Genomic DNA, 17,953 nt, shown 5'->3' on the forward strand with positions numbered 1-17,953 from the left:
TCTTTTTTTGAAATCTAGTGATTCAGGACTGTGAGATGTGACATAATACCTAGGGGACTAGCAAAATTTTTAATTTTCTGTTATGTCTCCATTTTATATCACCCTTGTGTGTGATTAGATAAATTACTTTCAAACATTCTGATTTTATACAATTAATTTTTTTCTTGTCAATAAAATCTAAGGAAGCCACCCAGCTGTCTGAAAATAAGCTATTATACCTGAGTGTTAAAATGCTTTAATTTGTGATGACAATCTGCCTTGAAGAATGTTGCCCCTCCTTCCCCTTTAGCTCATATTTTGTTGAACCAGACTTTGCTTGAAAATGGATTCTTCAGTGTTCTCTGTCTGGCTACAGGAGAAAAGTGTATTTGTGAAATGCTCAAGTAGAAAGCTATTCTGCAAAAGTTGAAGCTGAGTCTTTGTTTTGTACATAATCTATTGCTTAGTTTTGTGATGAATTTAGCATGAAGGTGGGATCCAGGGAAGGGGTGGGCTGGAGTACTGTGTGAGTGGTCAGTGTTGGTTTGGGCTCATGGCCCATAAAACTAGGAGGGCAGTTTCTAAAGGTGGCAGCACAAAGCGAAAAAGATAAAACCCATTTTTTTTTTTTTTTTTTTTTTAGGGTCTCATTCTGTCACTCAGGATGGAGTATAGTGGTATGATTTTAGCTTACTGCATCCCCCAACTCCTGGGCTCAAGCGATCCTTCGACTCCAGCCTCTTGAGTAGCGGAGACTACAGGCATGTACCACCCTTCTCAGATAATTTTTATGTTTTTTAGAGATGAGGTCTCACTATGTTGCCCAGACTAGTCTCAAACTCCTGGCCTCAAGTGATCCTCCTGTTTTGGCCTCCCAAAGCATTGGAATTACAGGTGTGAACCACCGCTCCCAGCCAAAACTCACTTTTAAAGAATAGCGTCTTAAGCTTCAGGGCTTAAAGCCCAAAACTTTATTGGGGAGTGCAATCCCAGGGTAGAAGGAGTCAGCCCAAAAGGAGGGAGAGCAAATATAAGGAAATGTGTTGCTAACTTTTCACAACTTCAGTGGTGATGATATCTCAGTTTCTCGGGTTGTCTTCAGAGAGGCCACGTTGCCAAGAGGGAAAAGGATGAAAGAATTGATCTGTTGACATCTGTCTTCCATTGTTAAAAGTTTGCCCAGCATTTTGAGGCTAAGTGCTAAGTGGGTTCTGAGGCATCTTGCACCTCAACAGCAATGTGGGAGCCCCAGAACGGTGGAGGGAGAGGTAACAGGGCACAGGAATGAAGAAAGATGCTCTTTGGCCATGCCCGCTTGTGACACGGGGACCAGTATTAGCTGCCACAGTGGTGCTAGGTCTGTAGAGGCAGTCATACCTTGCAACAGAGACTTCCAGGACCACGAGAACTTCAAGTCATACCTAGGGCTGCCTCAGCCAAGAAATAAGGCAATGCAGTGAATCCAGGGCCAATAGCAAGTCTGCAGGGATTGGGGTTTTCAATGAAAGCTTCTGTAATGGTACATTAAAATTAAATTTTGCTGAGGCATATACTAAATGGTGAGATGTGAGACCACTCCAATGCAGGATATAAACTCAGGTCCCTTGTCCTTCCAAGCCTTGCCTTTTCCATAGTTCCCCACTGGTTGTTATAGAGTGCAATACTGGCTTCAACAGTCACCATCATGGCAGAAGAAGGTGGGTCATCTACAAGCCACACTTCAAGTTTCCAGTGGATTGGGCATGGAAGTTTAATTGCATTTACTGCAGAAGCAAGTGATGATGATAAGTTTGTGGTAAATGTGGACCGGGTGGGGGTCACAGGGTGGGGTTGGGTATGAAAAGATCATGGCTGTATTGCATTCCTGTCCTTCTTTTTTATCCACTGCTCATGAGTGCCAGGCATAATAGGATTAAGTAGCATCTTAGAGGTACCCTTGGATATTGGGGCATAGCTCTTTGCTTCTGTGTGTGCTAGAACCCTCTTGGGAGCTAGGTCTCCTGTGCCTACCTTCTCCCTCTTCACTACAAGGCTACACGTTCGTTTTCAGTTCCAACAGTCCAAAACCACCTGCTCTTCACTTTTCCCAGGTTTCCGAGGCAAAAAGCAAGCAGCTTTTTGAGGGGAATGAGGTGGGAATCGAGGGTTCCCCCATCAGCGCCCTGGGAGACATTAAAGGGGAAATTTAGCCTAAGTAATGGTTGAAACCTGTAGCTCAGAGAACTACAAAACTACAGCCTGGGACACTTTGAACATCTGCTCTAGAAAGATTTTGTGGATTTTTTAGATTCACTTTGGGTTTTCATGGGAAAACTCAGGGAATGGAAGATGTTAATTTCTTATCTGGGTCACTTAACATCTCATTGCCTCTTCGTGTTTTTAACTTTCCCAAAGTGTTGGTTTGAAGTTCCTTAAACATTGATGCCTTGCTCTGCTGTTTTGGGGAACTTACACTGTTTATGAAGTCATATGACTGAATCTATTTATGTTTGAAGTATCTGGTTAAGCAGTTTTCCCTGAATCTCCAAGCAGTTATCAGATTTGGTAGCTGAAGATCTTAGCTTTATAGGATATGAATAACTCTACTGTAGGGGATGAATAGGGATAAAAGAAAAAATCTTACACAACCAAAAGTCTACTTATTTGGGGGCATTTCTGTGAGTTTGTTCTTTGTTATGGATAAGGTACAGATTCAATCTGTTCAGTTATTTCAGGAGCATTCAAGTCTCCTATTTCTTCTTGAGTAAGCTGGATAAACTTTTTCGCCCCAAGACAACGTCCATTTCTTCTTCTAGGGTGTTTCTAGGGTGTTTCTGATTTTCTTACTATGTACATCATCTCTCGTTATCTTTATTTAATCTGTTCTTTTGTAAAGTTTGTTTTAATTAAAAATATTTTTTAAGAGACAAGGTCTCACTGTGTCTCCCAGGCTGGAGTGCAATGGTGCAATCATGGCTCACTGCAGACTTGAACTCTGGGCTCAAGCTCTCCTCTTGCCTCAGCCTCCTGAGTAGCTGGGACTACAGGCTTGTGCCATCATACCTGGCTAATTTTTAAAATTTTTGTAGAGGGTCGGGCGCAGTGGCTTATGACTGTAATCCCAGCATTTTAGGAGGCTCAGGCGGGCAGATCACTTGAGGTCAGGAGTTTGAGACCAGCCTGGCCAACATGGTGAAATCCAGTCTCTATCAAAAATACGAAACTTAGCTGGGCATGGTGGCACACGCCTGTAATCCCAGCTATTTGGGAGGCTGAGGCAGGAAAATTGCTTGAACTTGGGAGGTGGAGGTTGCAGTGAGCCAAGATCGCACCACTGCACTCCTGCTTGGGCGACAGAATGAGCCTCCATCTCAAAAAGAAAATTTGTTTTTGTAGAGACGGGGTTTTGCTATGTTGCTCAGGCTGGTCTTGAACTCCCGGCCTCAAGTGATTCTCCCACTTTGGTCTCCCAAAGAGTTGGAATTAAAGGTGTGAGCCACTGCACCCAACCTGTTCTCTTCAAGTTATGCCTTTTAAAATCATGGTATTATGCCTTTTCTCCCTTTTTCTTAAATGCTGTCAATGGAATATTTGTTTATTTATTTTTATTACATCTATGTCTGGTGTAAAAAATGCTTTGATATGCATGTACATAGTGAAATGATTATTATGGACAAATTAAGATATTCATCATCCCACATAGTTAGCTATATTTCATGGTGAAAGTACCTAAAATCTACTTTCTTAGCAAATTTTCAGTATACGGTGCAATACTATTAACTATAGTCCCGATGTGTATCAGTTCTCTAGACTTATTCATTCTATATAAATGTAACTTTGTACACTTTGACTTCCATCTCCCCATCTCCCCACTCCCCTGCCCCTGGTAACCACTGTTCTATTCTCTATTTCTAGATATTCAAGAGTTTTGTTTTTTTTCTTTTAGATTTCACATATAAGGGAAATCATGCAGCATTTTTCTTTCTGTGTCATTCCCAAGAAGTTATTTTTCGCTTTGACAATTCTTTCTATTGCATCTTTATTTTAGAATTCATTCCTTTCATCTTCTATCTTTATTACTTTCTTCCTGCTACTTTCCTCAAGTTTATTCTGTGTTCTGTCACTAACTTCTTACAGTAGATGATTTGGCCATTAATTTTTACTCTTTATATTTTTGATATAAGCAGTTAGGATTATAAATTTCCCTATGAGCATTGCTTTAGTGTATACTAACACTTTTTTTTAACGGAAAACTAGCTTTATTTTAAAATTAAGTGCATAGCACTCATCTAATTCCATTCCAAGGTCTAAAGTGTAGACTTTAGCACCATACTTGCTATTTGCAATTCATGTCATAACACCAATACATTTTGGTTTGCAGTCTGTACTTGAGTAGTGTTTATTTAATGGACTTTGGTAAAATCCTTCATACATATTAATCTCTTCACAGTACACATTTAATGACGGTCCAATAATCTACAAAAAAAGCCTACTTCAAAGACTAATCAATAAATTAAACAAAACAAAACCCACACAATGCTCCCCCACCCCGAAAGCTAGCAGTTGTGAGTTGTATTTATATTGAAACCTAATGTTTTAAAAATAGTTCTGGTTCTTCAACCACCCCATCCCACCCCGGGTATGCAGCAATAGTAATTATTTTATTCTACTCTTCCAAAAGATTATTAATCCAGTGTTCTTTGGCTTTTTAAAATATAAATTGGGAAAGTGTTATTAATAAGCTTTTTTGAAAAGATATTATTCTAAAACAAGAATAGCATATAAACCAATCAATAAAAGTATTTGACAAGACATGAAGTTGCCACAGGCGCTGCCTGTTGTTTCAAGTCAGGATCTCCATCCCAATATCTCACATTCATACCATTACTGAGGTAGTTAAAATACGGAAAATTGGACTCCAGGTTGCTGAGTTCTGAATGTGAATGTGAAAGATATATTCTCTTTTGAGCCTACTTTCCCCCAAACAATTCAAGTTTTCTTGAGGTAAGAACTACCAAAATCCAATTAGCAGGCTTCTTTAAAAAGGAAAAGTGATGGTACTTTCAAAAAACAATTTTCATGCTTAAAAACTGCCATGAGTGGGTGTTCTTACCTGAGTGCTTTTTCATTTTATCTACCAGACTAATAAATCCACATTATGCCCTATGTACTCTAAAAGTTATTTTCTTTTTAAGGAAAGCATATTTTTCTAAGCATTCATGCTGGCAGAAGCTACCCACCCACATTCATCCCCGGAAGCCATCTGGATCACTCCATCACTGTGTTGAGCCCCTTCCCTTCCTAACAAAGGCCACTGGCTTGATTACTGAGACTCCTGCTGCATACCCACATCTTTATAGTAAGCTTGTCTTCAATGCATATTGTGACAGTCACATATCTGCCATGCAGATTCCCTTCTATTCAAGTGCTATCTTAAAAAAAAACACACATAAAAAGACATAGCTTACTAATTTTTAAACCAGAAAGCTTCCCTCCAACAAATCTTTCTTCCCCCACAGAAACGAGCACAATGTATACACTTTATCAGTTATTACAGTGACTTTTTAACCTTTTAAGGTTATTCCTCCAAAATGCTTTACCCCCAAACTGCCCTTGCTGTAATGACAATTATTGCTGTTTGCAGTTAATACCAGTACAGTGAAATGTCCCAGGGCAGTTGCAGGGTCAATCCAATGAAAGTAGCTACTGAAATTTAGTCTGTACCTTTGCCTGCTTAGACGGACTAGCTGGCTTCAAAGGTTGCTTAAAAAACGTGTCTTCCACATAACAAAGTGCTGCTCTAGCACAACCTGAGAACTTCCCTGGCCACGGTCCCCTCCAAAATAAACCTACTTTATTCTAGCACCAACCTCTTACAGTTAGTTATGCCTTCCCTTGAAATAACTTTTTAAGAATGTCGATTCTGAGTATAAATCACAGATTGCACTGAGAAAGGCAAAACCTACATATGTATTATGAAACACAGGAACTACCACTTCATTCTGAGCTATAATATTATGTTCTTATTTGAAAACACACCCTAGCAAGAGTATTTTAATCTATGTTATAAAGGTAGTTCACACTATAACATTTCCAAGGCTTGTTGCATTACAGTTAAGTGTTTCCAAGTAGTACAAATTCCCTGAGTTAAATGTGTTTTAATTCTAAAAATTTGAGGTTGATCACTTGGGGAAAAAAGAAAAATTATGACCGTGATTTTAAAAATAAGAGATCTACTCCACCATTAATTTTAGTATATAAATCCAGATACCTATACTATTTATGAGAGGAAGTTATATAGAATCATCTAAAAAATTTTTTTTACTGCAGATTGGTATAGCATAACAATTCATGAGTTTAAACTTAGTTCTAAAATCATGTGTAGAACAAAAAAATTTGCAGAATAAAAAACCTTTTCAAAAATTAATACTGTAACTTTCCTTCATAAAAGACTGTTTGGCAAGTCCACAGATAAGGTAAACATTTAGTCTTTTACTTAGAAGCCAACATTAGGCCCAGATGCTATACCACAGGTCAAATCTCAAAATGGCAAATTGGAGTCTGCCCAAATTTTCTGTTGTATTGAATATTTTCGCAATATTTGGACCATCAGCCAGGACTTGAACATTTTTGTCATACAGGGATTTGTTGTAACAGAATTTGACACACTGTTAATTTGCTTAGTCCTCCCAGGATTCATGGTGCATTAAAAGGGATATTCAGTCTTCCTGGAGCTGGTACCTGAAGAGTTCTGATGTCACTTAGATCCCCTTCCTTTTGAACAGAAGTTTACAAAACGCTCACCCATAGTCACAAAGCAGTCTGGGTCAGTTATCAGCTTCACACATAATCACTTTTCAAAACACGAAGTAATACAAGGGTAATGTTTATTTATCTGATAACTCCGGTTATAAGAAACACTCAGACAAGGCTTAACTTCTACTGGTATTGCCAGTGACATTCCAATACTAGTCTGCATGTGCCCAAGGCCCTGAACACTAGCTTGGAAGCCAGCAGGACATGTCTGTAGTGTGTAAGATGAAGTGTGTGTGGTCGATACAATATGCTGACAGCTTGGTGGTTCTGACTAGGATGGCGATACTGCAGTGAGGTCTGAGGTGTCTAATGGAGATATTGAGGTTGCTGAAAATGAACTAGCCGTGAGGGCTGGGAGGCTTTCTGGAACACACTTAGTTGTGCTGACTGAGGTCCTGCTTGCCCTCTCCGTTTGTTTGCTTCTTTCACATCATTATCATGAGCGATCAATAGCTGTTCAATACACTGCACTAAGAAATCCCAAGAGTAAGCAGTAAGACGATGCAGTCTTGTAGGCCACGTTGGAGAAAGACGAAGTATAATCCTCGCAGAAGCCACATACGCAGCAGCTACTAAAGGTGCATACTTTAGAAAGGCGTAATCTTACAAAGATACTTCCAGGAAGTAATCTGCACATTTGGCCATTTAGAATTTAGTCTTTTCCAAGCAAATCATTGGCCAGCCGTCATGAAGACCTGTTTTGTGTTCTGCTTCAGAGAGATAATACTCAATGAAATGGGCGGCTGTTGGAAGGCAGGGGTTCCACTGAAAGGTTTCTAATAATAATAGTTCCATATGTAGCAAATTTTGTTTTGTTAATACTAGATTCATATTAGTCATACAACCCAGGCTGTTGAGCTGCTCCAGCTTAGACACACTTTCTTCTTTTTCTTCAAATTTACTTGCTAGAAGCAGGCAGGAAAGCGCAACTCAATGCAGCTGCTGGATAGAGATGTCATAGCGGTCCATGAACAGGTCCAGTAAACTAGACAGCAAGATGGCGGGCAGAAGGGCAAAGGCATGGAAGCAATTGCTCACAGTGGCAAATCAAGTCAGCAAAATACCGTCTGAGACTTAATTGAGGGGACTGGCCTTTACAGGAGGGCAACTTCAGCTCCCTGTAGCGAAGTGCTTGGTGAATGTCGGCGGCCAGCTGCCCTCGCCACCACTGCCCCTCCAACTCCATGGGACCCGGCGGCGCGCCCAGCCCGACGCTGTAACTTGAGTCCGGAACCGCGGCCCTCACAGCCCCAGCCCCTCCGGCGTGCTGGGGACGCCAGCCCCGCTCACGCTGCAGACAGTCTGCTGCTAAGCGCGGGTCTCAGCTCTGGCCTAGCGACTGGACGCTCGCGCTGCCGGTTGTTAAAGGACCGGCAGGCAGCTCCCAGTGCATACTAACATTTTTAATGTATAAGATTTTATTACGGTTCAGTTTCAAGTAATGAAACATTCCCATGTTAATTTCTTCCTTGACCCACGAATTAAAAAGTGTGTGATTTTCAGAATAAAAAGATCTTTATAAAGTATGTTTTTGAAATGTCTAAATGCATGAGTTTTAGTTACCTTTTTATTGCTGATTTCTAATTAAATTTTGGTGAATGTGGTCTATTAGATGCCAGTACTACGAAAAATTTAAAGAACTTTCTGACTCACAGTGCAGTCAGTTTTTATAAATGTTTCGTGTGTGGTTGAGAGGAATATGATTCCCCTAATTGTTTGGTGCAGGGACACGCATATGCATATTCATTAGGTCAAGCTTGTTAACTGTGTATTTCAACCCATCCGTAATTTACTGCTTGCTTTATTTATTCCTAGGAAAGGTGTGTTTTCCTATTCCACTCTGTTGATGGATTTGACAATTTCTCATGTAGTTCTGTAATTTTTCTTATAAATGAGGTTGGGCTACTAATAATGAACTAATTATTACTAATAAAATGATCTTCCTGGCAAAGCAAACCCTTGATCATGATAGCAATCCTCTTTACTCACAATAATATTTGCTTGCTTTAAAGTTTATTTTCTCTGATATCAGTAAACTATGTGACTTTTTTTGTCTTTTAAACTCTCATTTGTATACTAGTGTATATATATGTGTGTGTGTATGTATGTATTTATAAACTCAATCTGACATTCTCTATTAACTGGTAGATATTAGTACTCCATTACATTTACCGATATATTTAATCTTTCTGGCATTATAGTTTCTTTATTATTATGATTATTTAAGTTCTGAGATACATGTGCAGAACGTGCAGGTTTGTTACATAGGTATACATGTGCCATGGTGGTTTGCTGCACCCATCAAGCCGTCATCTACATCAGGTATTTCTCCTAATGCTATCCCTCCCCTAGCCCCCCAATCCCCCACAGGCCCCAGTGTGTGATGTTCCCCTCCCTGTGTCCATGCGTTCTCATTGTTCAACTCCCACTTATGAGTGAGAACATGTGGTGTTGGTTTTCTGTTCCTGTGTTTGTTTGCTGAGAATGATGGCTTCCAGCTTCATCCATGTCCCTGCAAAGGACATGAACTTATTCTTTTTTATAGCTGCATAGTATTCCATGGTGTATATGTGCCACATTTTCTTTATCCAGTCTATCGTTGATGGGCATTTGGGTTGGTTTCAAGTCTTTGCTATTGTGAATAGTGCTGCAATAAACATATGTGTGCATGTGTCTTTATAGCAAAATGATTTATAATCCTTTGGGTATATACCCAGTAATGGGATTGCTGGGTCAAATGGTATTTCTGATTCTGTAGATCCTTGAGGAATTACCACACTGTCTTCCACAATGGTTGAACTAACTTTCTTTTCTAAAGGTAAGCAGTTTTTAAAATGTTTTTTTCTTGCTGATGATGTCAGAGCTATGAATTTTTATTATGAAGGGGCCAGGTGTGGCGGCACATGCTTGTAATCCCAACACTGTGGCTGGCCAAGGCAGGAGAATCCCTTGGGGCTGGGAGTTCAAAACCAGCCTGGGCAACATAGCAAGACCTCGTTTATATAAAAAAAAAAAAAATAAGAAAATTAGCCGGGCATAGTGGTAAGCACTTGTGGTCCAGCTTCTCAGGAGGCAAAGGCAGGAAGATCATTTGAGCCCAGGAGTTTGAGGTTGCAGTGAGCTATGATTGTGCCACTGCACTCCAGCCTGGGCAACAGAGCAAGACCCAGTCTCTTAAAAAGACAGAGAGAGAGAGAGAGAGAAAGAGAAAAAACAAAAACAAAGCCCCAACTGTCTAATAAAATTTAATTCTGCTGCAATTTTATACCCCAGTATGTTGTTCCTTTTTTTTTTTTTTTTTTGGAGACCGAGTTTTGCTCCGTCACCCAGGCTGGACTGCAGCCTCAACTCACTGCAACCTCCGCCACCCGGGTTCAAGCGATTCTCCTGCTTCAGTCTCCTGAATAGCTGGGATTACAGACACGCATCACCACCCCCAGATAATTTTTCTATTTTTAGTGGAGTCGGGGTTTCACCATGTTGGCCAGGCTGGTCTCGAACTCCTGACCTTAGGTGATTGCCCCGCCTCGGCCTCCCAAAGTGCTGAGATTACAGGCGTGAGCAACCGCATCCAACATGTTGCTCCTTTTGTAGGAACACACAACACTTTTTCATGGAAAAAATGCAACAAGTTTTAAAGATGGAATTATTTTACCTCATTATTTTATCTTGTTTTGTTTAATGACTAGCATTGCAAATAAAATAGCATTTTTTTTTTTACCATTGTAAATACAGACAATCCTTGCTTTGTGTGCTAGTGGGGATCATCAAATGCCCAATGACTGTGCAAGCCAGAACCATGCAAAACAATCTTAAGAATCAATGGGGGTTGGCTCCGTGGCTCATGCCTGTAATCCCAGCACTTTGAGAGACTGACGGGGGAGAATCACTTGAGGTCAGGAGTTCAAGACCAGCCTGGCCAACATAGCAAAACCCCATCTCTACTAAAAATACAAAAAACTTAGCCAGGGGTGGTGGCATGTGACTGTAGTCCCAGCTATTTGGGAGGCTGAGCCAGGAGAATCGCTTCAACCTGGGAAGTGGAGGTTGCAGTGAGCTGAGACTGCCTTACTACACTCTAGCCTGGGGGAAAGAGCAAGATTCCATCTCAAAAAAAAAAAAAATCAATGGGAAAAATTATGATTGTTTCATGAACTTTAAAAGTCAGAACTTTAAAAACTTACTGTCAATTATAAATGTATAGAAAAATTTAAAAATAAGAAAATATTTCATACACTGAAATTTTAAGTAATTGAAATATTGGGAACTAAAATCTTTCTTTGTGAAATATGTATCAAGAGTAGTTTTAGCAGTGCTTGCCTTCTCCTGTTTGTACAACTATGTGAACAACAGAGTGAACATTTTGGTGAACTGTCATACTGCTGAGTAAGATTGAATCAGCTTCCAATGTTCTATTCTTTGTGCTTTCAATCTTGGGAAATATCTCTGAGAGTTCCTTTAATGCAAAGTTGTTTACCACTGGGGCCACTTCCTCTGGGACACCTTAATTCTTTTTTTAAATCCTTCATTTCTGTTGATAAGTTTGCCTTCACTAATTCTCTGATTGGGTGTCTAAGGTATCAGCCGCAGTACCAATATTTCCACGGTCAGCTGCTACTTTTATAACTCCATTTATGTCACCATCAAATTTCATTCCCAGTATTATCACTTTTTGTTTCTTTGCTGCACTTTGATCTTTGCTGGCCAACTCCCACTTATCCATTTTTATAAAATGTCACATGGATTTAACACTGGGATTAGATAGGGAGGCAACACGCCTACACACTTTGCTGTGTGTGAACTGAATAATAGATGTGCAGTGACGGGCTTTGCAACAAGTGACAGAATCGTTCACTGATCATGTGATTTGTAGATGGATAATCTAGCACTAAAGCTTGCAGTTAACACATTTCCTTATAGTTAACATACCATGGTAACAAGCTACAGTCTGTTTAATACTTGTGTGAATGGAAAATAAATCCTGGGACCCCAAAATCATTAAGCTAAGGGAAAAGTCAAACTGGGAACTGCTTAGGGGAAACCTGCCTCCCATTCTATTCAAAGTAACCCCTCTGCTCACTAAGATAAATGCATATCTGATTGCTTTCTTTGGAAAGACTAATCAGAAGTTCAAAAGAACGCAACCGTTTTACTCTTATCTACCCATGACCTGGAAGCCCCCTCCCCACTTTGAGTTGTCCCGCCTCTCTGGACCGAACCAACGTTCATCATACATATATTGATTGATGTCTCTCTGTCTCCCTAAAATGTTCAAAACCAAGCTGTGCCTCCGACCACCTTGCGCACATGTCATAGGACCTCCTGAGGCTGTCACAGATGCATCCTCCCTTAAAAAAAAAAAGAGAGAGAGAGATGCAGCAAAGGGTGCCCTTTCCTACATAGGGGCCTCTATTGCCCAGGCTGGAGTGTACTGGCATGATTGTGATCATAGTTCACTGCAACCTCAAACTCCTGGGCTCAGGTGATCCTCCTTCCTTGGCCTCCTGAGTAGCTGAGACTACAGATGCACACCACCACACCTAGCTAATTTTTTTTTTTTAATGAGACAAGGTCTCAGTATATTTCCCAAGCTGGTGTTAAACTCCTGGCCTGAAGCTATCCTCCTATCTCAGCCTCCCAAAGTGCTGGAATTATAGCCATGAGCCACCGTGCCTGGCTTCTCCAGTATATTTATCTCTCTCTCTTTTTTTTTTTTTTGAGATGGAGTCTCTCTTGTCTCCAGGACTGGAGTGCAATGACCCAATCTCAGCTCACTGCAACCTCTGCCTGCCAGGTTCAAGTGATTCTCCTGCCTCAGCCTCCTGAGTAGCTGGGATTACAGGCACCTGCCACGACACCTGGCTAATTTTTTGTATTTTTTTAGTAGAGACAGGTTTCACCATGTTGTCCAGGCTAGTCTTGAACTCCCGACCTCAGGTGATCCACCCGCCTCAGTCTCCCAAAGTGCTGGGATTACAGGCGTGAGCCACCGTGCCTGGCCCCTGGTATATTTTTCGACAACACTTTTCTGCCTTTGAAAGGGGCTGAATGCACAGCTTCTCTCTGAAAAGCCAAGATGTAAAGGCAGTATGACAAGTGGAAATCCAATCTCCACAACTCACTGGGTAATCAGAGATGAGTTCTTGGGCTTGCTGGGCTGTTTCTCTGCCCCTAAATTGGGGGCCAGGAGAACTCCCTTGCTCAGGGCCCTACTTTGGGCTGCCGTGAGAATCCCGTGTGGCTACACAGGCAAAGGGCCATCAATGCGGCCCTCTGGTTTTCCTCAGGAAGTCTCTTTGAGGCAGATTCCACAGCTTCCAGGGCTGCGTGTGGTGGCTCACGCCTATAATCCCAGCACTTTGGGAGGCCAAGGCAGGTGGGTCACCTGAGGTTAGCAGTATGAGACCAGCCTGGCCAACATGGCGAAATCTCATCTCTACTAAAAATACAAAAAATTAGCTGGGCATGGTGGCACGTGCCTGTAATCCCAGCTACTCAGGAGGCTGAGGCAGGAGAATCGCTTGAACTCGAGAGGCAGAGTTTGCAGTGAGCCAAGATCATGCCACTGCACTCCAGCCTGGGCAACAAGAGTGACACTCTGTCTCCAAAATAAATAAATAAATAAAATTTAAAAAAAAACACAAAAATTAGTCAGGTGTGGTCACATGCCTGTAGTCTCAGCTACTCGGAAGGCTGAGGCAGGAGAATCACCTGAACTAGGGAGGTGGAGGTTGCAGTGAGCCGAGATCGTGCCACTGCACTCCAGCCGGGGCAACAGAGAGAGACTCTGTCTGATTGTTTAAAAAAAAAAAAAAATTCCGCAGCCTTTAAATGTCAATTTGTTGTGCTCCTGACAGCCCTGGAAGCCCTCCCAGGATGGGTTGAGGGCCCACACCCCACCCCTCAACTGAGCCAGCACCCACAGGCCATGGGGCCAGCCGCCATTGCTCCTACCAGCTCAGGCCAAAGCCAGCAGAGACAAGCTCTTCACAGCCCTCACTCCCTCCTCTCTGTGGGGACAGACAGGGCCTGTGAAAGACTCCAATCACTGCAGCTTCCAGTGATCCTACAATCCTTTCTGTTATACCCAACCTCTAAAGGAGAGCTGAGAAATACAACATATGCATTCTCTCATCCCCAGTTCCCCTACCCTGGGATGGGGTGCTAAGGGGAAGCCAGGCCCCTCAGATGTCCAGCTGGGATCAAACTGGCAGAGCCCATCAACAGATGAGTGGACAAAGAAAAATGTGGTGTGTATATATTATGGAATACTACCCAGCCATAAAAGAAAAAAAAATGAGGCAGGGTGTGGTGGCTCACACCTGTAATCCCAGCACTTTGGGAGGCCGAGATGGTGGATCACTTGAGGTCAGGAGTTTGAGACCAGCCTGACCAACATGAAACCCCATCTCTACTAAAACTATAAAAATTAGCCAGGCATGGTGGCAGACTCCTGCAGTCCCAGCTAATAGGGAGGCTGAGGTGGGAGAATCACTTGAACCCAGGAGATGAAGGTTGCAGTAAGCCAATATCATACCACTGCACTCCAGCCTGGATGACAGAGCAAGATTTCATCTCTAAAAAATGAATGAATGAATGAATGAATGAAATAGGGGCAGGGTGAGGTGGTTCATGCCTGAAGTCCCAACACTTTGGGAGGCCAAGACAGGAGGATTGCTTGAGGCCAGGAGTTCGACAGCAGCCTGGGCAGCACAGTGAGACCCCCATCTCTACGAAAAATTTAAAAATTAGCTGGCTGTGGTGGTGCACATCTGTAGTCTTGGGACTACTTGGAAGGATGAGGTGGGAGGATCACTTGAACCTGGGAGGTCAAGGCTGCAGTGAGTTGTATACTGCTGCACTCCAGCCTGGGTGACAGAGAAAGACCCTGTCTCTAAAAAAAAAAAAAAGAAAGAAAGAAAGAAAGACTGATAAGACTGATGTCTTTTGCAGCAACTTGGATGAAACTGGAGGCCATTGTCCTTAGTGAAGTAACTCAGGAACAGAAAACCAAATACTGCGTATTCTCACCAATAAGTAGGAGTTAAGCTATGGGTACACAAAGACACACAGAGTGGGGACATTGGAGACTCAGAAGGGGGATGATGTTAGGGGGTGACGGATGAAAAACTACTTATTGGATACAAAGTATACTACTCAGGTGACAGATGCTGTAAAATCCTAGACTTCACCACCATACAATTCTTCCATGTGTCTCCAAAAACCACTTGAACCCCTCAAGCTATTGAAATGAAAAAACTTAAAAATAAATTTTTGCGGCTGGGTGCGGTGGCTTACGCCTGTAATCCCAGCACTTTGGGAGGCCGAGGCGGGCAGATCACGAGGTCAGGAGATCAAGACCATCCTGGCTAACACGGTGAAACCCTGTCTCTACTAAAAATACAAAAAATTAGCCAGGCGTGGCGGGCGCCTGTATTCCCAGCTACTCGGGAGGCTGAGGCAGGAAAATGGTGTGAACTCGGGAGGCAGAACTTGGCAGTGAGCTGAGATGGCGCCACTGCACTCCAGCCTGGGGGACAGAGCGAGACTCCGTCTCAAAATAAATAAATAAATTAATTAATTAATTTTTGCCTGGGCACAGTGGCTCACGCCTGTAATCCTAACACTTTGGGAGGCTGAGGCAGGTGGATCACCTGGGGTCAGGAGTTCGAGACCAGCCTGGCCAACATGGCAAAACCCCATCTCTACTAAAAATACAAAACTTAGCCAGGCATGGTGGCATGCGCCTGCAATTTCAGGTACTATGGAGGCTGAGGCAGGAGAATTGCTGGGAGGTGGAGGCTGCAGTGAGCCAAGATCGCGCCACTGCACTCCAATGTGGGTGACAGAGTGAGACTCCATCTCAAAAATAAATAAATAAATAAAAAATTTTTTTTGAGACAGTCTTGCTCTGTTTCCCAAGTTGAAGGGCAGCGGTGCTATCACAACTCACTGCAGCCTCAAGCTCCTGGGCTCAAGTGATCCATCACACCCGGCTACATCACACCTGGCTAATTTTTGTAATTTTTGCAGGGGTGGGTTTTTTTTTTTTTTTTTTTTTTTTTTTTGGAGACGGAGTCTTGCTCTGTCGCCCAGGCTGGAGTGCAGTGGCGCAACCTGGGATGAGGTCTTATTATGTTGCCTAAGCTGGTCTTGAACTCCAGGCTCAAGTGACCCTCCTGCCTCGGCCTCCCAGCTAGCTGGGATTACAGGCACGCACCACCATACCTGGCTAATTTTTTATTTGTTGTAGAGATGGGGTGTCACTATATTGCCCAGGCTGGTCTCAAACTCCTGGCCTCAAGCAATCCTCCCACCTTGGTCTCCCAAAGTGTAGGGATTACAGGTATGAGCCACTGCACCCAGCCAAAAAGTTTTTTAAAAAAGAAAAACTAGTGGCCGGGCACAGTGGCTCACGTCTGTAATCCCAGCACTTTGGGAGGCCGAGGCAGGTGGATCTCCTAAGGTCAGGAGTTCGAGACCAGCCTGGCCAACCTGGTGAAACCCCGTCTCTACTAAAAATACAAAAATTAGCTGAGTGTGGTGGTGCTTGCCTGTAATCCCAGCTACTCATAGGAGGCTGAGGCAGGAGAATAGTTTGAACTTGGGAGGCAGTGGTTTCAGTGAGCTGAGATTGTGTCACACCACGAGAGTGTGCCCACTTTAGCCTGGGCGTCAGAGTGAGACTCTGTCTCATAAATAAAGAGAAAAAATAAATTGGCAGAGCCACACAGAGTGTAAGAAACTAATCAGATCTATTCAGCTAGAAAAGCAATTTTGCACAACTGTGTCCATTTTCCCCCTAAGGAGTTTTACACCTTTATGCAAATGGGGAGGTTGTGGGAAATTGGAATTTAATGTTAATTTGCATTTCTGACCATGGAAGGGTAGGTGAAATGTGCCTTCTTTTCTATGGCATAGATAAGACAGTGGCACTCTGAGAGGCTCAAATGGAAGCTTCCTCTCCCAAAAGCCATCCCCAGCATACCTGTAAAACAAAAGTGGCGCATCTCAGAAGGACCTTGGTGGTGTCGCTGGAATGTTGATCAACAAGAATGATACCTGCAAGGTGTAACTGCGCTTTGCATTCCCTGAAGTACAGTAGGTGCCCCATAAACATCTGATGGCTGGATGAATTAGTAAGTAAACGAGCTCTTTATTTAAAGGTCCCACCCCAAACCAGCATCCCTCAATCAGTCCTGCCATAACCATCTAGGTGAGGGGGGTTGTTGATGGAAAAAGGTAAGAAAGAAATTTGCAAACTCCCCTGTTGGCTTCACAATAATTCATGCTCATCTGCATCTAATAAAATATGGAAGCAATTTTACAGAACATTTTGTGCTTTATCGATTCATTTAACTCTTTCCTCCAGGGGGCAAGTCGTATATCCTCATCCAGATATGTGGGAAGTTCCGTGAATACATCTGCAAATATCTTAAGATGAGATGCTCCTCTCCCTGCTGGGAACCTGACTCTAGTGAAGGAAAGCTTGAAAGTGAACACCAACCGGGCTTATCCTGGCCTCCTCTCTACCCATGGTTTCGTGCCCCTGTGTCTGTCCCACTGCCAACGTGACCTGAAATTGCTAGAGGAGGTGAGTGCTGAAGTCAGTATCATCAGAGCCAAGGACATTGTCCTCTAGAGCCAAGTTCACCCCTTTACTTGGCAGGGCTTCTAAGAGATGAGCTGCTGTCCATCCCATCAGTCCTCTACACCAGACCACCAGGAAGGACAGATGCTCAGGTGCCACAGCCGCTGCCACCGTCCCCCAAGATACCACGAACAGTCCCTTCACTGTTTCCAGCTGTGTCTGCCTCTGTGAGCTGCCCCCAAACTCCTTCCAGATTTAAGAACTGATGAATAAAATTGAGCAACACCTGCCCCGAGCTGCCTATTGCTCTGTTCACGTCCTGATTTTCTGAGTCAACAATTTTCCAGTTTTTTAAATTAAACTTTTCATTTTCAGATGATTATAGATTCACATGTGGTTGTAAGAAATAATACAGAGAGCTCATGAACTCCCTTCCCTGGTTCCCCTGCAGTGGTAGCATCTTGCAAAACTATAGTACAATATTGGGTCATCTTTTTGTTTGTTTGTTTGTTTTGTTTTGTTTTGAGACAGAGTCTCTCCCTGTCTGGAGGCTGGAGTGCAGTGGCATGATCTCAGCTCACTGCAACC

General features: G+C 42.7%; 1 pseudogene; it reads right to left on the minus strand.

The window, feature by feature from the left end:
• Positions 1 to 6,608: 6,608 nt before the first annotated feature.
• Positions 6,609 to 8,138, minus strand: CCNJP1 (cyclin J pseudogene 1; annotated as a pseudogene).

This window comes from Homo sapiens, chromosome 7 (genome assembly GCF_000001405.40).
Source record: "Homo sapiens chromosome 7, GRCh38.p14 Primary Assembly".
NCBI classification, from domain to species: Eukaryota; Metazoa; Chordata; class Mammalia; order Primates; family Hominidae; genus Homo; species Homo sapiens.